The 20,069-nt window shown below is 47.1% G+C and overlaps 2 protein-coding genes, 1 long non-coding RNA gene and 1 pseudogene across 18 annotated transcripts in view, besides 3 other annotated features; 2 read left to right on the top strand and 2 right to left on the bottom strand.

Moving 5' to 3' along the window:
- Positions 1-8,781, bottom strand: part of TMX2 (thioredoxin related transmembrane protein 2) — a 28,381-nt gene extending 19,600 nt beyond the window's left edge. For 11 of the 14 annotated variants that reach the window (NR_144934.2, NR_144935.2, NR_144933.2 and 8 more), the window contains exon 1: positions 8,567-8,781. Coding sequence is in view for 5 of the 14 variants with exons in the window: in NM_001347890.2 (NP_001334819.1) it covers positions 8,567-8,755 (189 nt within the window). In the remaining 9 variants the exon portion in view is untranslated. The remainder of the gene's footprint in view (positions 1-8,566) is intronic. The other 3 variants (NM_001347891.2, NM_001347896.2, NM_001347892.2) reach the window with 1 other exon arrangement.
- Positions 1-8,851, bottom strand: part of TMX2-CTNND1 (TMX2-CTNND1 readthrough (NMD candidate)) — a 106,658-nt gene extending 97,807 nt beyond the window's left edge. Inside the window, 1 exon segment of the long non-coding RNA NR_037646.1 lies at positions 8,567-8,851. This is a non-coding gene — a long non-coding RNA (TMX2-CTNND1 readthrough (NMD candidate)).
- On the top strand, positions 2,808-3,525 carry PPIAP42 (peptidylprolyl isomerase A pseudogene 42; annotated as a pseudogene).
- Positions 5,311-5,821: an enhancer, noted in NCBI's record as "NANOG-H3K27ac hESC enhancer chr11:57483025-57483535 (GRCh37/hg19 assembly coordinates)". NCBI's record gives its function as "activates a minimal SCP1, AML or CMV promoter by ChIP-STARR-seq in primed H9 embryonic stem cells {active_cell/tissue: H9 hESC(primed)}" and the evidence as "EXISTENCE:reporter gene assay evidence [ECO:0000049][PMID:30033119]".
- On the top strand, positions 9,159-17,665 carry MED19 (mediator complex subunit 19). Of its 3 annotated transcripts, none has more exons than NR_157587.1 (5): positions 9,159-9,411; positions 16,145-16,401; positions 16,559-16,655; positions 16,739-17,072; positions 17,268-17,665. NR_157587.1 is itself a non-coding variant. In NM_001317078.4 (5 exons), the coding sequence occupies exons 1-5, from the start codon at positions 9,195-9,197 to the stop codon at positions 17,334-17,336; spliced, it is 735 nt and encodes a 244-aa protein (NP_001304007.2). In that variant the 5' UTR covers positions 9,159-9,194; the 3' UTR covers positions 17,337-17,664. The 3 variants fall into 3 exon arrangements, 2 of the variants coding, with proteins under 2 accessions (NP_001304007.2, NP_703151.3); NM_001317078.4 differs by having other exon boundaries at positions 16,978-17,072; positions 17,268-17,664; NM_153450.4 differs by having other exon boundaries at positions 16,739-17,664.
- Positions 9,189-9,528: a silencer, noted in NCBI's record as "silent region_3357". NCBI's record gives its function as "represses an Ori minimal core promoter by ATAC-STARR-seq in GM12878 lymphoblastoid cells {active_cell/tissue: GM12878}" and the evidence as "EXISTENCE:reporter gene assay evidence [ECO:0000049][PMID:35858748]".
- Positions 16,040-17,239: an enhancer, noted in NCBI's record as "BRD4-independent group 4 enhancer chr11:57471607-57472806 (GRCh37/hg19 assembly coordinates)". NCBI's record gives its function as "activates an origin of replication core promoter dependent on BRD2, P300/CBP, MED14 and CDK7 cofactors, and independent of BRD4, by STARR-seq in HCT116 cells {active_cell/tissue: HCT116}" and the evidence as "EXISTENCE:reporter gene assay evidence [ECO:0000049][PMID:35650434]".
- Positions 17,666-20,069: the final 2,404 nt, after the last annotated feature.

The raw sequence follows: 20,069 nt of genomic DNA, 5'->3' as shown, positions 1-20,069 counted from the left end.
TCCATCTCAAAAAAAAAAAAAAAAAAAACTTTATTTATTTATTTAAATAAAACATTGATTGATTGATTGATTGGAGATGGAGTCTCACTCTGTCACCTAGGCTGGGGTGCGGTGGCACTATCTCAGCTCACTGCAACCTCTGCCTCCCAGTTCAAGCAATTCTCCTGCCTCAACCTCCCAGGTAGCTGGGATTGCAGGCACACACCACCACACCCGGCTAATATTTTGTATGTTAGTAGAGACGGGGTTTCACTGTATTGCCCAGGCTGGTCTCGAACTCCTGAGTTCAGGCAATCCACACGCCTTGGCCTCCCAAAGTGCTAGGATTACAGCCACCGTACCTGGCCTGAGGAAAAAAAAAAAAAACAGCTATCTTTCTAGTACCCATAAAAAGATACAGAAAGAACACAGCCTTAGAAACTCCCTTGGCAAGATTTTTAAAAGACAGAAATCAGATTCAAAACACAAGTTAAAATTCTTTGTACACTCAAACTGCTTGTTTTGGATCCCCTGAAGGGCCTGCAAAAAGGCACTATGATCTGTGGTCTAGTGGCTGGCAATAAACTGGTTAGCTGCTGCAGCGTGGGTTCGATTCCTTGTAAGGTAACAGTCCATTGCAGATGCAAGTCTTTTAACTCAGAGGAAAAAAAAGAAACACTTATAAAAATTAGTTTGAGGCCAGGCACGATGGCTCACGCCTGTAATCCCAGCACTGTGGGAGGCCAAAGCGGGCGGATGGCTTGAGGCCAGAAGTTCGAGATCAGCCTAACTAACGTGGTGAAACTGTCTCCACTAAAATACAAAAATTAGCCGTGTGTGATGGCACACGCCTGTGATCCCAGCTACTCAGGAGGTTGAGGTATGAGAATCGCTTAATCTGGAGGCAGAGGTTGCAGTGAGTAGAGATCATGCTAAAGCACTCCAGCCTGGGCGATAGAGCAAGACTCTGTTTCAAAAAAAAGAAAAAGTTTTGTTTTGAATTTCCATTTGTTGACTCCTGACTTTTGGGGGTACTCATTCGTTATTGGTACCATATACACAATAAACACATGTATAGACATATACATACATATATAGACACATGTATCGATACAAAAGCCAAAGACTAGAGAGTTTAATTCAAAAGAGAGAAGAGTTTTAAACCTGACATGAACCCATTAGTGACTTTTGGGGCTCTATAAGGAAAACGAGAGGCCCCAAAAGAGAGGGTCAGTGGCACCTTTTTTTTTTTTTTTTTTTGTATTTTTAGTAGAGATGGGGTTTCACCACGTTGGCCAGGCTGATTTTAAACTTCTGACCTCAGGTAATCCACCTGCTTCAGCTTCCCAAAGTGCTGGGATTATAGGCGTGAGCCACCGCGCCCAACCAGTGGCACCTTTTTTTTGTCTTCCTCAAGGGATCTCAGGGTTGTCAGAAGTCCCATCTAGACCCCTTTAAGGGTTATCAAAGGTGGCAAAAGGAAGAAGTAGAAATACATGGAACAACCAGTTTTGGAGAAGCCAATTTGGAGAGATTTTAAGCTTCCCCAAAAGGCTAATGAAATTTTACATTTTCAAGGCAGGGTGCAGTAGTTCATGCCTATAGTCCCAGCACTTTGGGAGGCTGAGGGAAAATGTACCACTTGAGCCCAGGAGTTCAAGATCAGCCTGTGCAACATGGCGAAACCCCATCTCTACAAAAAATACAAAAATTAGCCGGGCGTGGTGGTGTGCACCTATAATCCCAGCTACTCAGAAGGCTGAGGTGGAATACTTGAGCCCGGGAGGTCAAGGTTGCAGTAAGGTGACATCTCACCATTGCACTCCAGCCTGGGCAACAGAGTGAGACCCTGTCTCAAAAAAAAAAAAAAAAAAAAAAAAGACAAAGAAAAAAGAAATTTTACATTTTTCTCAGCAAAGATCATGCCAACAAGAAAGGAAGTGAACACAAGGACTAAACATAATTTTTTTTTAAAGGGGGTTTCAGTGAACTGAAAAAATTTCCCAGGGCATGAGATCCAAAAGAGAAAAAGCAGAAAGCCTTTAAAAAATAAAAAAATTGGCCAGGCACGGTAGCTCATGCCTGTAATCCCAGCACTTTGGGAGGCCGAGGCAGCTGGATCACGAGTTCAGGAGATCGAGACCATCCTGGCCAACATGGTGAAAACCCGTCTCTACTAAAAATACAAAAAATTAGCCGGGCGTGGTGGCGTGCACCTGTAATCCCAGCTACTCAGGAGGCTGAGGCAGGAGAATCGCTTGAACCCAGGAGATGGAGGTTGCAGTGAGCCAAGATTGCACCACTGCACTCCAGCCTGGGTGACAGTGAGACTCTGTCTCAAAAAAAAAAAAAAAAAAAAAATATATATATATATGGCCTGAATATCAGCTTTTAGTTAAGCCAACTTCTGACCAGAAAGCTCTTTTTAAAAATCCTTTGTGGCTGGGCGCGGTGGCTCACACCTGTAATCCCAGCACTTTGGGAGGCCAAGGCGGGCGGATCATGAGGTCAGGAGTTAAGAGACAAGCCAGGCCAACATGGTGAAACCCCGTCTCTACTAAAAATACAAAATTTAGCCAGACGTGGTGGCAGGCACCTGTAGTCCCAGCTTCTCGGGAGGCTGAGGCAGGAGAATTACTTGAACCCAGGAGACGGAGGTTGCAGTGAGCCAAGATCACACCACTGAACTCCAGCCTGGGCAACAGAGTGAGACTCCATCTCAAAAAAAAAAAAAAAAAAAAGAGGGGGGGTTATTTCAGAATAAATGAATGGAGGAAAACAATGATATAGATAAAACTAAACAGATATAAAAAGTTGGGCAAAGAGGCTTTGCTGCCACCACCAGGAGCCCTGTACTATCAGCCATGGTCAACCCCGTGTTCTTTGACATCACCGTGGATGGTGAGCCCCTGGGCCGCATCTCCTTCGAGCTGTTTGCAGACAAGGTTCCAAAGACAACAGAAAACTTTCGTGCTCTGAGCACTGGACAAAAAGGATTTGGTTGTAAGAGTTCCTGCTTTCACAGAATTATTCCAGGGTTTATGTATCAGGTGGTGACTTCACACGCCATAATGGCACTGGTGGCAAGTCCATCTATGGGGAGAAATTTGATGATGAGAACTTCATCCTAAAGCATACAGGTCCTGGCACCTTGTCCATGGCAATTGCTGGACCCAACACAAAAGGTTCCCAGCTTTTCATCTACACTGCCAAGAGTGAGTGGTTGGATGGCAAGCATGTGGTCTTTGGCAAGGTGAAAGAAGGCATGAATATTGCAGAGGCCATGGAGCGCTTTGGGTCCAGGAATGGCAAGACCAGCAAGAAGATCACCATTGCTGACTGTGGATAAGTCTAGTAAGTTTGACTTGTTTTGTCTTCACCACCAGACCATTCCTTCTGTGCTCTCCTCTCAGGAGAGCACCCCTCTACCCCATTTGCTCGCAGTATCCTAGAATCTTTGTGCTCTCACTGCAGTTCCCTTTGGGTTCCGTGTTTTCCTTGTTCCCTTACATGCCTAGCTGGATTGCAGTTAAGTTTATGATTATGAAATAAAAACTAAATAACAACAACAATAAAAAGCTAGGGAAAGAAAATAAAGAATGAAAACAAATTCTGGCCTCTGCCTCTGCCTCTGCCTCTCCCTCTCCCCTCTCCCCTCTCCCCTCTCCCCTCTCCCTCTCGGTCTCCCTCTCCCTCTCTTTCCACGGTCTCCCTCTGATGCCGAGCCGAAGCTGGACTGTACTGCTGCCATCTCGGCTCACTGCAACCTCCCTGCCTGATTCTCCTGCCTCAGCCCACCGAGTGCCTGCGATTGCAGGCAAGCGCCACCACGCCTGACTGGTTTTCGTACTTTTTTGGTGGAGACGGGGTTTCGCTGTGTTGGCCGGGCTGGTCTCCAGCTCCTAACCGCGAGTGATCCGCCAGCCTTGGCCTCCCGAGGTGCCGGGATTGCAGACGGAGTCTGGTTCACTCAGTGCTCAATGGTGCCCAGGCTGGAGTGCAGTGGCGTGATCTCAGCTCGCTACAACCTCCATCTCCCAGCCGCCTGCCTTGGCCTCCCAAAGTGCCGAGATTGCAGCCTCTGCCCGGCCGCCACCCTGTCTGGGAAGTGAGGAGCGTCTCTGCCTGGCCGCCCATCGTCTGGGACGTGAAGAGCCCCTCTGCCTGGCTGCCCAGTCTGGAAAGTGAGGAGCGTCTCTGCCCGGCCGCCATCCCATCTAGGAAGTGAGGAGCGCCTCTTCCCAGCAGCCATCCCATCTGGGAAGTGAGGAGCGTCTCTGCCCGGCCGCCCATCGTCTGAGATGTGGGGAGCGCCTCTGCCCCGCCGCCCCGTCCGGGATGTGAGGAGCGCCTCTGCCCGGCCGCGACCCCGTCTGGGAGGTGAGGAGTGTCTCTGCCCAGCCGCCCCGTCTGAGAAGTGAGGAGACCCTCCGCCCAGCATCCGCCCCATCTGAGAAGTGAGGAGCCCCTCTGCCCGGCACCAACCCCGTCTGGGAAATGAGGAGCGTCTCCGCCCGGCAGCCGCCCCGTCCAGGAGGGAGGTGGGGGGGGTCAGCCCCCCGCCCGGCCAGCCGCCCCGTCCGGGAGGTGAGGGGCGCCTCTGCCCAGCCGCCCCTACTGGGAAGTGAGGAGCCCCTCTGCCTGGCCAGCCACCCCGTCCGGGAGGGAGGTGGGGGAGTCAGCCCCCCACCCGGCCTGCCGCCCCGTCCGGGAGGGAGGTGGGGGGGTCAGCCCCCCGCTCGGCCAGCCGCCCCGTCCGGGAGGGAGGTGGGGGGGTCAGCCCCCCACCCGGCCAGCCGCCCCGTCCGGGAGGGAGGTGGGGTCAGCCCCCCGCCCGGCCAGCCGCCCCGTCCGGGAGGTGAGGGGCGCCTCTGCCCGGCCGCCCCTACTGGGAAGTGAGGAGCCCCTCAGCCCGGCCAGCCGCCCCGTCCGGGAGGGAGGTGGGGGGGTCAGCCCCCCGCCCGGCCAGCCGCCCCGTCCGGGAGGGAGGTGGGGGGGTCAGCCCCTCGCCCGGCCAGCCGCCCCGTCCGGGAGGGAGGTGTGGGGGTCAGCCCCCCGCCCGGCCAGCCGCCCCGTCCGGGAGGGAGGTGGGGGGGTCAGCCCCACATCCGGGAGGGAGGTGGGGGGGGGTCAGCCCCCCGCCCGGCCATCCGCCCCGTCCAGGAGGGAGGTGGGAGGGTCAGCCCCCCGCCCGGCCAGCCGCCCGGTCCGGGAGGTGAGGGGCGCCTCTGCCCGGCCACCCCTACTAGGAAGTGAGGAGCCCCTCTGCCCAGCCACCACCCCGTCTGGGAGGTGTACCCAACAGCTCATTGAGAACGGGCCGGGATGACAATGGCGGTTTTGTGGAATAGAAAGGGGGGAAAGGTGGGGAAAAGATTGAAAAATCGGATGGTTGCCGTGTCTGTGTAGAAAGAAGTAGACACGGGAAACTTTTCATTTTGTTCTGTACTAAGATAAATTCTTCTGCCTTGGGATCCTGTTGATCGGTGACCTTACCCCCAACCCTGTGCTCTCTGAAACATGTGCTGTGTCCACTCAGGGTTAAATGGATTAAGGGCGGTGCAAGATGTGCTTTGTTAAACAGATGCTTGAAGGCAGCATGCTCGTTAAGAATCATCACCACTCCCTAATCTCAAGTACCCAGGGACACAAACACTGCGGAAGGCGGCAGGGTCCTCTGCCTAGGAAAACCAGAGACCTTTGTTCACTTGTTTATCTGCCAACCTTCCCTCCACTATTGTCCTATGACCCTGCCAAGTCCCCCTCTGCGAGAAACACCCAAGAATGATCAATAAAAGAAAAAAAAAAGAAAACAAATTCTAAGAGGTTATAAAAGGTTTATGGAAATTTTATCTTGTCTAGTCAAAGCTGATCAAGATTAGACAGATTTGTTTGTAAAGTTTATTAAAATCAGCTTTAGTATTAAAAGCACATTAATACATATATATTATATATAAAATATATTTTTTTAATTTTATTTATTTATTTATTTTGAGACAGAACTTTGCTCTTGTTGCCCAGGCTGGAGTGCAATGGCACGATCCTGGCTCACTGCAACCTCTGCCTCTCAGGTTCAAGTGATTCTCCTGCCTTAGCCTCCAGAGTAGCTGGGATTACAGGCACCCACCACCACACCCAGCTAATTTTTTGTATTTTTAGTAGAGACGGGGTTACACCATGTTGGCCAGGCTGGTCTCGAACTCCTGAGCTCAGGAAATCCACCCGCCTCAGCCTCCCAAAGTGCTGGGATTACAGATGTGAGCCACCATGCCTGGCCAAGTGTCTTATTTTCAAGGAGGATCATGGAAAGCATGGGAAGAATGCTGACAAATAAAGGTTTCTGATAACTTTGAAACTGTATCACCGGACTGGGTAAAAATTTCCAAAGTCTAATGAAAATAAAACTGGACTCATAAAATTGCTAACCTCCAGACTAATGTTTTCCATTTTTCACCCACTCTTCTGACTTAGAATCACTAAAAATTAAAACGGCCTTTTTTAGCTTGGCGCAGTGGCTCACACCTGTAAATCCCAGCTCCTTAGGAAGCCAAGTCAGGAGGATCCCTTGAGCTCAGGAGTTCAAGACCAGCCTGGGCAACATCAAGAGACCCCACCTTGAAAAAAAATTTTTAAAAATTAGCCAGGTGTGTAGTGCATGCCTTTGGTTCCAGCTACCTGGAAAGCTGAGGTGGCAGGATGGCTTTGCCCAGGAGGTTAAGACTACAGTGAGCCATGATCACATCACTGCACTCCAGCTTGGATGACAGAGCAAGACCTTGTCTCAAAAAAAAATCCAAAAAACTAAAAACCCTGCCTTTTTCCTAAGGCCTTACCAGCTAAAGCTAGTCAACGTGACTTTGAAAAAAAAATCACCACAAAAGCTTATATTTGGACAAACTTTACACACAACCTACAATCTAGGAAAATAGATTGCTATTAATCTTCCCAATTGACTGCCCTCCAGACTCTAAAGAAACTAGTTTATAGACTATACCAGATATTAAGCTTTGTTTGTCTTGTTCCATAGAAATGTCTCTCTTATTAAATACCTGTTTGCCTACATCATATACAGAGGCCTAGCTTTGAGAACTCATCTACAATGCCATCTTCTGAAATGAGACACAACAATTTAATTGAACTGGACTATCCCCCAAAATGAGAGGCTGGTTTAATGGGATCCTTTGCCGCTCAATTACTAGCCCGATTTCTCTCTCCACAGACACCAACTCAGCTTATAGTGAAACTTCTAAGGAAGTTTCAGACAAAGGAAATAAAGAAGACCAGGGACTCACACCCCAAAATATGGCATCCTGTATGCTAATCATTTTAAATTAAAGGTCCCTGGAAACCAGCAGATACTGGAAGCAGCTTTACTCTGATAACTACCTTATCTGCCTAAAGTCCAGACCTGTCAAAGAAGACAACAATTACTTCTGGTCTCTTCCCTGAGTTTTCATTAACTTACTTCAGTACAAGAAGAAAGATGGAAGCCTGTCAACACACCTGGACAGATTTTTGTCAGAAACCATTGTCTGCTCTGCAGGCCCAACAGTCATTGTCCCAGGCCACTGTATGTTCTCCAGGCCACTGAATCACCCTAAAAATCATTTACGATCCACCTTAAAATCACCCACATTTTCCCATCTCCCATATTCCTATGAAAGAGGGTATATAAGCATCTGTACCCCACTGGGTCATTCTCCTGCAATTCCCTCATGCTATGCACGTTAAAATAAAATTTCTATGCCTTTCTCCTATTAATGTGCCCTTTGTCGGTTGATTTTTCAACAAACCCTCAGAGAGCAAAGGGGAAGCTTTTCCTTGGCCCCTACATGCTATATGGCAGAAGGGAAAGTGCTTTAAGTTTATGTTCCGAGCAGTCCCTCCACCCATACCAAGGAAGCACAGCAAGGAGCTTGGGACACTTCCCAAAGAAATCCCAAAGATTTCTTTACAACGTATTTTTTACAATTCCTTTACAGTAGCCCCCAAATTTTATCCACTTTCGCATCTTCAGGATCAAGCAGAGTGCCTAGAGTGTACACTCTAGAAATGTTTATTGAATTAAGAAGCGGCTGACAGTGTTGTGCAGGTAGTGTGGCCAGAAGAGTAGTTTCAAGTCCCAGGCACTCATTAGTTGTATGACCTGGGGCAAGTCACCTAAATATACCGAGATCCATTTCTTCACCAATGAAACAGGAATATTACTACTTGCCTTGTCTACCTTACTGGCTCCTCAGGAGGCTTTACATAATGAGCGGCACTGTAAAACGTTATACACGTGTATGTACAGTTTTGATAGGGCTGTTAATTAGTCTCAATGGTGAAACAGAAAGAAACCTGGACTCAACAGTCAAAAGCTGTTGGGCCGTTGTGCATGGGCTACGACTAACATGTTCCGTTTTCCCATCTTAAACACAAAGTTTAGACTCGATGATGGTTCGGACCCTGCACTTAATAGTCTCTAAGTCCGCTACAGGCTCGGAACCTCAGGTGTCCTCAGAGAGGTAAACCCCAGGGTTCCCAGATACACCTGCAAGGGCAGGGACAGTCAAGGTCGCGGGGTACTAACACGCGGGAGGCTCACCCAGTCAAAGTCACACGGGTTACCGTCTTCGCGTTGGGTGGGCAGACCGTGGCAGAGCGGCGGCAGTTTCCTCACGAGTAGGAAGGCAGCAGAGAGCAGGGCCGACAGAAGGTAGTAAGGTTGGGCGAGCCATCGTGAAAGTCGCGGCACCGAATACACGAGAGCAATTAGAGGTGCCAAGACCGCCATCTTTTCGGCCGTAACGGCCACTGCTCGCCGGCGTCGTAGGTCTCGCCCCGCCTCCCCCACCATAACGACTGCTATTGGGCTATATCGCAAACGTACGGCCTCTAAACCCGGATGTAGTTCTCTGAACGCTGTGGTAGGTCAGAACCCAAAAAAGAACTTAATATTTTATTGGTTAGTCTAGTTGTCGCTTTATCCGCCTAAGTCATTTTATTGGACTGTAGCAAGCAGAGCTAGCAGAAGACTCTAATAAGGTTAAATAGCACTTCCTGAACGTTCTCATAAGGCGACGGAAGTAGTTGTTGAAAAAAGGTAGGCGGTGCCTGAGGCATCCAATGACAAGCGGCTCCTTGAGAAAGGGCGGGGGGGTACTCCTTGAAAGCATTGTCCAATGAAAATTACCAACGGCAGACACGGAGACAGCGCCGGGGCGGAGGGTACGATGGAGAATTTCACGGCACTGTTTGGGGCTCAGGCTGACCCACCACCGCCCCCAACCGCACTCGGCTTCGGACCAGGAAAGCCTCCACCCCCGCCACCGCCTCCTGCGGGCGGGGGACCCGGCACGGCCCCGCCTCCCACCGCGGCCACGGCTCCTCCTGGCGCGGACAAGTCAGGAGCTGGCTGTGGCCCTTTTTACCTCATGAGGGAACTGCCAGGTGAGTACTCGGCCTTGCCAAAGCCAGCCAATCAAATCTTAGAGAGGAGGTGATGGGCGTGGCTCTCAGCCGGCTAGCGGAGGTGCGAGGTAACCTAGGCAACGCATACCCGGACTGTGGAGCCCTAAGTCGGAAGCGCTGTTAGGATTCACAAGCAGAGGGATGACTTGAATTCAACCAGGATGAGTTGAATTCAACCAAAGGGATGAATGGCGGGCAGGGGCGTAGTGCATCTCCGTTACTGTCTTTTGCACCATGTCCAGGCTGTGTCCCTGACACTGGTTTATGTCTCTCTAAAAAATGACCTAGGGCTGGGCGCGGTGGCTCACGCCTGTAATCCCAACACTCTGGGAGGCGGAGGCGGGCGAATCACCTAAGGTCAGGAGTTCGAGACCGGCCTGGCCAACATGATGAAACCCTGTCTCCACAAAAAACACAAAAATTACCTGGGCGTGGTGGCGTATACCTTTAATTCCAGCTACTCGGGAGGCTGAGGCGGGAGAATCGTTTGAACCCCGGGAGGCGGAGGTTGCAGAGAGCCGACATTGCTCCACTGCACTCCAGCCTGGGCGAACGAGACTCCGTCTCAAAACAAACAAAATCCAGGGTTTGAGTTTGGAACTCGAGAGGCCTGATTTAATATCTTTGGGGACCCAAAGTTTTAGTTACAGGTCTCCCACAGACTTGCTATTGGTTTGGGGCAAGTTGCCATTCTTCCTTCTAAGGTTCCGGCATTTCCTGGTCTGATCAAAAAAGGGATAAGAATCGAACCAAACTCTTCATTCAAAAAATTATTTTGTTGAGTACCTATGTACCAAGCACTTTTCTAAATGCTGGAGACAGTTGTGAACAAGACTGACAAGATGCTTGCCTTTTTTGGGATGTACATTTCAGTGGAGGAGGCATTGTAAACAAGATAATGTCAGAAAGTGGTTAATGCTAGGAAAAGAAAACATGATAAAAATTGAAGGTGGCCAGGCGCGTTGCTCACGCCTGTAATCCCAGCGCTTTGGGAGGCCGAGGCAGAATCCCTTGAGCCCAGGAGTTTGAGACCAGCATGGGCAACATGGCGAGACCCAGTCTCTACAAAATATACAAGATTAACCGGGCGTGGTAATGCATGCCTGTAGCCCCAGCTACTCAGGAGGCTAAGGGAGGAGAATCGCTTGAACACAGGAGGTCGAGGCTGCAGTGAACCAAGATTGTGCCACTGCACTCCAGCCTGGGCAACAGATGAGACCCTGTCTCTTAAAAAAAAAAAATTGAGGGGCAGAACTACTTTAGCTAGAGTGGCCAGAGATGCTCTCTTCACATAGCTAACATTTGAACTAAAATGTAAGCATAGACAAAGGGCCAGCCATGTATGGACAGGAGGGAGAGACAATTGTAGATACAAGAAATGAGGTCAGAAACCCTGATGTGAGAAAAAGCTTAGAATATCTGAGGGACAGAAAATCAGTTGGACTCCAGTGAAGTGAACAAAAGGAAAGAGTGTTAGGGAGAGAGATGAAGCTGGGAGAGTTAGGCAGAGGCTTTTATAAAGCAGTAAAGGCATTTAGATTGTAAATACAAAAGGAAGCCATTTAAAAAATTTTTTTATAGACACAAGGTCTCACTGTGTCACCCAGGCTGGACTGCAGTGGTATAATCATAGCTCACTGTAACCTCCAGTTCCTAGGCTCATGCTGTCGTCCCACCTCAGCCTTCCAAGTAGCTAGGACTACAGGCATGCACCACCACAGTTGGCTAACTTAAAATTTTTTTGTAGAGACTGGGTCTTACTGTGTTGCGCAAGCTGGTCTTGAACTCCTGGCCAACAGCAGTCCTCCCGCCTTGGCCTCCCAAAGTGCTAGGATTATAGGTCTGAGCCACTGTGCCCAGCCAAGGAAAGCCATTTTAACATAGGAAGTTGGTCAAATGCACTTGTTTATAATCATTTAAGCAGCCACATGACAAATAGAAAGTGGGGAAATTAGTCAGAAGTTACTGCTCAGTAGTCCAGGAAAGATAATGGTTTGAACCAGAGCATAGCAGGGCATAGAGAAGTAAATGGATACAGGATGTTAGAGGTAGAGCTGACAGGGTTGAAAAATTGAATACAGGGCCAGGCGCTGTGGCTCACGCCAGTAATCCCAGCACTTTGGGAGGCTGAGGTGGGAGGATTGCTTGAGCCCAAAAGTTTGAGACCAGCCTGGGCAACATAATGAGACCCCATCTCTACAAAAAATAAAAATAAATTAGCTAGGGATAGCAGCATGCACCTGTAGTCTCAGCTACCTAGGAAGATGAGGTGGTAGAAATCACTTGAGCCCAGGAAGTTGAGGCTGCAGTGAGCCATGATTGTGCCACTGCACTCCAGCTTGGATGATAGAGGAAGACCCTGTCTCAATTAAAAATATATATTGTATATAGAAGTGAAGGAAATAGAGGAATTGATGCCTTTTTAAGTTTTCGGCTTGAATAATTGGGTGTATGGGTACGGAGACTTGGAAGATGAGGAAGGAACAAGTTTGAAGAGGTGGAAATCAAGAGTTATTTTGGACATGTTTGGTCTCCAAGATGCCTCTTTTTTTTTTTTTTTTAAACAGAGTTTTGCTCTTGTTGCCCAGGCTGGAGTGCAATGGCACAATCTCAGCTCACCACAACCTCCGCCTCCCAGGTTCAAGCGATTCTCCTGCCTCAGCCTCCCGAGTAGTTCGGATTACAGGCATGTGCCACCACACCCAGCTAATTTTTTATTTTTAGTGGAGACAGGGTTTCTCCCTGTTGGTCAGGCAGATCTCAAACTCCCAACCTCAGGTGATCCGCCCACCTTGGCCTCCCAGAGTGCCAGGATTACAGGCGTGAGCCACTGCGCCCAGCCTCCCAGATGCCTTTCATTGTCTCAAGTCTTATTTCCACATCATGACTTGAGGGAAATAGCAACAAATATTGGTATAGTACTTTGAAGTTCACAACACACTTACATGCAGTATTTAATATAAGTAGTATTTAATACTTAGAATAGCCCTTTGAGGTAGCATTACTGTCTACATTTTATAATTGAAAAAACTGAAACATGGAGAAGTTGACATCCCTTTGATTAGTTAGTGGTTGATGTCCACCAGCGGTTTCTTTTAATCTTTCTTTTGCCTTCCCTATTCTGATTGTAGCTATTTGTATCAGTCAGTTGACAGATATTGAATATATGTTCTGGGCAAATGCTGGGTGTATGAGGCGGGTGAGATGGAGAGAGAGATTAGTAATGCTGGTCATTGCTTTTCAAGGAGTTTAGTTAGGAATGTAAAATTTGTGGTTTAAGGATAGTGACTATATTTCCTGTCACCTCCATCTCATTTTGTGCTCATGCCTCACAACAGCAATTAACAATATCTTAGCCATCAATATTAAGAACTACCTAATGGTTTTCAAAGTGTGTTGCTATCCAGAATGACAGTGAGAATAAGATGTCACTTGAGCTAGACCTTGAATAATCCATATTGGTGAAGAAAAATTAGGAAGAATTTTCCTAAGATGAAATAATGTGAGGGGTGTTTTTTTGAGGCGATAAGGAGATCCATTTGGATGGATCAGAAATTTTGCATAGGAGAGTAGTGGTTGATGAGGCCCCAAAGCTAAGTTGGAGTAAGATGTAATTAGCCTTGAGTGCCAGTCAAAGGAATTTGAGCTTTCTCCTGAGGGCAAAAAGAAACCATTAAGATTTGTGAACTGAGGAGTACTGATTTCCAAAAATATCTGGAACATGTGGGTGCCATGGATTGAAATAGAGAAGCCCTGAGTGATGTTGGCAAGATTTGGAATTTCAAAACAATTTTTTTTTTTTTTATCTTGTTGGGCAGGGTGGTTCACGCCTGTAATCCTAGCACTTTGGGAGGCTGAGGCAGGCAGATAGCTTGAGTCCAGGAGTTCAAGACCAGCCTGGGCAACATAGGGAGACCCCTGTCTCTACAAAAAATACAAAAATTAGCCTAGCATGGCAGTGTATGCATGTAGTCCCAGCTACCTGGGAGGCTGAGGCAGGAAAGTAGTTTGAGCCCAGGATGCAGAGATTGCAGTGAGCTAAGATTGTGCCATTACACTCCAGCCTGGGTGACAGAGCGAGACTGTCTCAAAAAATAAATAAATATAAAAAGTAATCTTTGTAGAATAGTCAAAACTGGAATTTGAACTCTCAAGTTACAGTTTAGAAAAAGCACAGACTGCCTTCTCACCTGAGCCTTAAGGATAACCATCTGGACAGAGGAGAGTTGGCAGAGCAGGGGAAATTCAGAAGATTGTAATGGCAAGAGGCAGTGCCCAGAGTTATGAGGAGAGATACTGTGACATTGGGTCTCCTGCCATTACCCTCGCTCAGTCTTCTGAGTTGTTTGGTAGTAAAGGGAAGGAAAAGGATGAATAAGGCCTAGAGGTATAGAGGGAAAGTGCCTTGTTTATTTAATAAATATTTATTAAGCACCTAATGTGTGTACTGTGCTGGGCACTAGCGATACATGAATGAACAAGACATTGTCTGTGCCTCCAAGGAGCTTACAGTTCAGTACCTCAGTTTTCCCAAGTGAATGATTATAAACAAGCCATTTTTGTCATTTGTACCCTCTGTGTCTATCATAATTACAAATGAAGTTGTAGTTAGCTATTTCTACCCTTGCTAGTAGGTCCTTATTAAGTTACTAATAAATGTATATTTTTTAAAAAAGAATCAGCCATGCAATATTTATATGGATAGTGCCTTGCATACATATAATACTTTTTTTTTTTTTTTTTTGAGATGGAATCTGACTCTCCCACCCAGGCTGGAGTGCAGTGGTGCAAACTCAGCTCACTGCAACTTCCACCTCCCGGGTTCAAGCAGTTCTTCTGCCTCAGCCTCCCAAGTAGCTGTGACTACAGGCGCATGCCACCACACCCAGCTAATTTTTGTATTTTTAGTAGAGATGGGGTTTCACCATATTGGCCAGGCTGGTCTCAAACTCCTGACCTCAGGTGATCTGCCTGCCTTGGCCTCCCAAAGTGCTGGGATTACAGGCATGAACCACTGTGCCAAGCCTGATACTTTATGCTTTTCAGCATATTTTCATTTGAACCTTGGGAGAAAATTATGTGTATGTAAGATAGCTATTATTCCATTCCACAGATAAGAGGAAACTGAGGCATGGAAGACAGCCAGAATAATTCTAGTTGCCTGACTTGTTTTTTTGTTTTTGTTGTTTTGTTTTGTTTTGTTTTTTTTGAGACAGGGTCTCACTCTCTCACCCAAACTGGAGTGCAGTGGCCTGATCTCAGCTCACTGCAACCTCCGCCTCGCAGGGATTACAGGTGTGTGCCACTACTGTCCAGCTAATTTTTGTATTTTTAGTAGAGACAGGGTTTCACCATGTTGGCCAGGCTGGTCTTGAACTCCTGACCTCAAATGAGCTGCCCGCCTTGGCCTCCTGAAGTGCTGGGATTACAGGCGTGAGCCACCGCGCCTGGCCATTAGTTGACTGACTTCTAATCAAACATTTCTTCCTGGATGCGTGCTGTGGCTCACACCTGTAATCCCGGCACTTTGGAAAACCGAGGCGGCGGGGGGTGGCGGATCACTTGAGGTCAGAAGTTCAAGACCAGCCTACTCAACATGGTGAACCCCCTTCTCTACTAGAAAAAAATTAGCCAGGCATGGTGGTGTGTGCCTGTGATCCCAGCTACTTGGGAGGCTGAGGTGGGAGAATCACTTGAACCTAGGAGGCGGAGGTTGCAGTGAGCCAAGATCGTACCCCACTGCACTCCAGCCTAGGCGACAGAGCAAAACTCCCGTCTCAAAAACAAAAAACATTTATTCCTTTTAGGCAAGGCATCATACTCAGTATCACGAGGAAGAATAAAGATGTTGGTAACAAGTTAGGCAGTGGTAGCTAGAAAAAAATCTCCCAGTTCTTTTCTTATGTAAAGGTGATTAGTGTTTCTTGCTAGTAAAAAAAAAAAAAAGTCCTTGACAAGACCCTTAAGTCACTGGGTCATATTTGGCCCCCTGAGCATGGTTGTAGCTGAGCTGCAAGGTCGTATTTTCCTAGCTGTGTCAGAGAATATAATTTTTCACTAATACATTTTATGAGAAACACTCAGAACAGCATTTACCACGAAGCAAGCATCATATAAATCAACTCCAGTTAATCTTAAGAGAGTGGAGTGTCTCCTTCATTGGGCTAGAGCAGTTCCTGTCTCTGCCCTATTGGATTTTTGCCTGTTTTTCCCCTTCCCATTGGAACCTACCATTGTGTTGTATTATACTTTTCATGTTATTTACTTTTGCTGTTTTTTTTTTTTTTTTTGAGACAGAGTCTCGCTGTTGTCCAGGCTGGAGTGCAGTGGCGCAATCTCAGCTCACTGCAACCTCCACCTCCCGGGTTCAAGTGATTGTCCTGCCCCAGCCTCCTGAGTAGTTGGGACTACAGGCACGTGCTACCACGCCTGGCTAATTTTTTGTATTTTTACTAGAGACGGAGTTTCACCGTGTTGTTAGCCAGGATGGTCTCGATCTCCTGACCTGGTGATCCACCCGCCTCAGCCTCCCAAAGTTCTGGGATTACAGGCATGAGCCACTGCATCCGGCCTGCTCTGTTTCTTTAAAAATAAATTTTAAATTTTAAAATCTGCACTTAAAAAATGTCTTATTTAGGTTAATATATAGTCCTTCACTCCCTGGGTCTACTTTGAAGACTGATCTTTTTTATTTTTATTCTGCGTTGTCTAGGTAGCACAGAGCTGACAGGCAGCACGAATCTGATCACACACTACAACTTGGAACAAGCCTATAATAAATTCTGTGGGAAGAAGGTGAAGGAGAAGCTAAGTAACTTCCTGCCTGACCTGCCAGGGATGATTGATCTGCCTGGTTCCCATGATAACAGCAGCCTCCGCTCTCTCATTGAGAAGCCCCCTATTCTCAGTAGCTCTTTCAATCCTATCACAGGGACCATGCTGGCCGGCTTCCGCCTCCACACTGGCCCGGTGAGTCCTGTTGGAGGAAGAAGGCAAATGGGGAGGCCTAAACATGGAGATGGTTTTTCTCTCCAAGTCTGTTCCTTCATAATGGAGCAGAATGGATGATAAGAGCAGGAGAGATTTCCTCCCTCTACTCACCTGGACCTTCCTTTGGTTCCTTCAGTTGCCGGAGCAGTGTCGTCTGATGCATATTCAGCCTCCCAAGAAGAAGAATAAGCACAAGCACAAACAGAGCCGTACCCAGGATCCTGTCCCCCCAGGTAAGAAGCAGTTCTATTCAAAGCAAAAAAAAAAAAAAAAAAAAAAAAACCTGACCTTCTGAATCTGGTTTGAACTTCCATAGGTAAACCCAGTTAAGTTCCGTATGGAGCTCTGGACTCCTAAATTCCCCTGAAGAAGAAACCAATGTACTGTGGTCTCTTGGGACTTGGGACAGGGACTCTAGCAGCACCTCTGTATCCTTTCTGGCCATTTGGACAAAAGCAGTTGCCCCGACTTGGGATTTTCCTGTAGTCTTCAGTGGTTCATAACAGTAGAGGATTTTGAGCTTTACAGGTGATAGGTACCTAATGTCTCCTACAGAAACACCATCTGATTCAGATCACAAGAAGAAGAAAAAGAAAAAAGAAGAGGATCCTGAACGGAAAAGGAAGAAGAAAGAGAAGAAGAAAAAGAAGGTAGAGTAGAGGCCTATTGCCACAACCCAGTGAGTTTCCCCAGATCTCACCCCTGTCCTAAATACCCTAGAGTTCTTTGCCTCAAGTTGGACCCAAGATTGAAAACCCAAGGCAGGTTGCAGGTTTCTCCTGTACAGCCTGATCAAAGCCAAGGCTAGTTCCTAGTTGTTCTTACCCTGCTTCTTTCTCCCCCAGAATCGACATAGTCCAGACCACCCAGGTATGGGCAGCTCCCAGGCCAGCAGCAGCAGCAGCCTACGCTAATAGGACCACTGGACTCTTTGCCAGGATGGCTTTTCCTGCTGTACTGAACCTGCTGATAAAAGCTGCCTTCCAGGCTCTTGGACACTGCCTTGGGAGCATCCTGCAGCTGGGACAGAGGCCAGCTCCTGTTGGGCTCAGTTGAGACTAAGTAAATTAGGAGAGAGAGGGACATGCTTTTGTAGGCTCATCCCAGTTGGTTTTCTCATGGACATCTCTTCCTCTCCCAGGAAGCTTACAATTTTCTTCTCTCTCTTTTGTGCAATTTGTCTGATTTAGGACTTGTTCTGTGTTTTCTTTAAAAAAAAAAAAATTACATTTATCAAACTGGCTGAAGTGTGACTGCCTGTTAAGAGGTATGTGCCTTTCTGTGAATCAGGATTTAAGACAAGGCATTCCTAAGACTTGAGGGGATTTGGGTCTTGTCATTACATGATCTCACTAGCAGGCAGGGAACCAACCAAAATGAAAAGTGACCCAAGCTTACTAATACTCCACAGCAGACACGTAACACTCTGCCCATTATGTTGAGAACCAAGCGCCTCGGTGATCTCAGGCTCCATCTGAAGAGCTGATCCAGGTAGGGCTCAACAGTGTATTCTAGGTCAATTTTGTGTCGAAAGAGAATAGCCAACTGAAAACACATGGACAGTCACCCATGTGTTTCAACAAGATTGGTTCTTTAGGTCAGAAGCCTGTGATCTTTTGAGATGAACTTCTGGCAAGCAAAGGTAAAGCTTCCCTTCTCTTTACAAGAACTTTTGACCTGCTTCGGTCCTTAGTTAAGACAATAAAGTTATTTAGCTGATGTGAAAACATTTCTAAAACAGCAACAAAATGTAGCCTAAACCATCAAAATGTGAAAAACAAAAACAAAAAACACTTTTAGTTTTTCCAGCTGGTTAGGTAACTGAAAACATCCATGAGAAAACCTGAATTAATGTAATCTGACTTTAAATTTAACACAGTTAAAATCTGTTGCCGTGAAAGCCAAGGTTGTTCCTGAATCAGTGGGTGGAAAACCACTCATTCAGCTGGTTTAAATCCAGGATTTCAGAATAAGAGTTTGCTGGGTTTTTTTTTTTTTTTTTTTTTTTTTGAGACAGAGTCTTGCTCTGTTGCCCAGGAGTGCAGTGGCATGATCTCGGCTCACGGCAACCTCTGCCTCCTGGGTTCAAGTGATTCTTGTACCTCAGCCTCCCAAGTAGCTGGGACTACAAGTGTGCGTCACCACACCTGGCTAATTTTTGTATATATATATATATATTTTTTTTTTTTTTTTTTTTTTAAATTTTGGAGAAAGAGTCTTGCTCTGTCGCCCATGTTGGAGTGTAGTAGTGCAATCTCAGCTCACTGCAACCTGCACCTCCTGGGTTCAGGTGATTCTCCCACCTCAGCTTCCCAAATAGCCAGGATTACAGGCACCCATAACCAACGCCCAGCTAATTTTTGCATTTTTAGTACAGACGGGGTTTCACCATTTTGGCCAAGCTGGTCTTGAACTCCTGACCTCAGGTGATCCACCTGCCTTAGCCTCCCAAGGTGCTGGGATTACAGGTGTGAGCTACTGCACCCAAATAAGAGTATATATATATATATATATTTTTTTTTTTTTTTTTTTTTTTTTTTTTCCTGAGACGGAGTCTTGCTCTGTCACCCAGGCTGGAGTGCAGTGGCGTGATCTCGGCTCACTGCAAGCTCCGCCTCCCAGGTTCACGCCGTTCTCCTGCCTCAGCCTCCCAAGTAGCTGGGACTACAGGCGCCCGCACCACGCCAGGCTAGTTTTTTGTTATTTTTAGTAGAGATGGGGTTTCACTGTGTTAGCCAGGATGGTCTCGATCTCCTGACATTGTGATCAGCCCGCTTCGGCCTCCCAAAGTGCTGGGACTACAGGCGTGAGCCACCACGCCCGGCTAAGAGCTTATATTCTTAAATTTTGAGTAATTAAAGGGCTCTGGTCAACTGCTTGAGATTTAGTGTCTAAGGATACCTATTTAAAATTAGAGCACAGCTTTTGTCCAATAAAATGCAATATATCTAATTGAACTGACACCGATATCTAGTTAACCTGCCTTCAACAGGCTTTCATACCTGTTACTATGTCACCTTTGGCTGTTTCCAAAATTAGCTTTACTTTCCAGAGACTAAATCCTGTATTAAAAAACAACTGTAGCTGGGCATGGTGGCTCATGCCTGTAATCCCAATGCTTTGGGAGGCCAAGGCAGGATTGCTCAAGGCCAGAAGTTCGAGATCAGTCTGGGCAAAATTGGTTGAGAGTCTATCTCTACCAAAAAAAAAAAAATTAGCTAAGCATGGTGGCATGCAACTGTAAGTCCTAGCTTCACAGAAGGCTGAGGTGGGAAGATCCCTTGAGCCCAGGAATTTGAGGATATAGTGATCTGATTGTGCCACTGCCCTCCAGCCTGGGCAACCAGAATGAGGCCCTGTCTCTTGAAAGAAACAACTTTTAAGAGTTCTCTAAGCTTTCAAATAACAAGCAGTTTTGGTGATTTCAAGAGACCTTTTTTCAGGAATTTTTGAATTAAATCACCCAAATAAAAACAGGACCTGTTGTTTTTAGAAATGGAGTCTCTATGTTGCCCAGGTTGGTCTGGAACTCCTGGGCTCAAGTGATCCTCTTGCCTCAGCCTCCCTCAGTGCTGGGATTACAGGTATAAGCCACCGCACTGGGTCTCTTTTTTATTTTTTTAGTTGTTAAGTGGCTAATTTCATTA

Source organism: Homo sapiens, chromosome 11 (genome assembly GCF_000001405.40).
Source record: "Homo sapiens chromosome 11, GRCh38.p14 Primary Assembly".
NCBI classification, from domain to species: domain Eukaryota; kingdom Metazoa; phylum Chordata; class Mammalia; order Primates; family Hominidae; genus Homo; species Homo sapiens.
This window is presented reverse-complemented; position numbering and strand designations above follow the sequence as displayed.

Excerpts from the sequence above, each read along its gene's own strand:
- MED19 (NM_001317078.4), top strand. The coding sequence starts at position 9,195 with ATGGAGAATTTCACGGCACTGTTTGGGGCTCAGGCTGACCCACCACCG. Across the intron at positions 16,402-16,558 it reads TCCGCCTCCACACTGGCCCG|TTGCCGGAGCAGTGTCGTCT; the intron begins GTGAGTCCTGTT and ends TGGTTCCTTCAG. Across the intron at positions 17,073-17,267 it reads AAGAGAAGAAGAAAAAGAAG|AATCGACATAGTCCAGACCA; the intron begins GTAGAGTAGAGG and ends TTTCTCCCCCAG.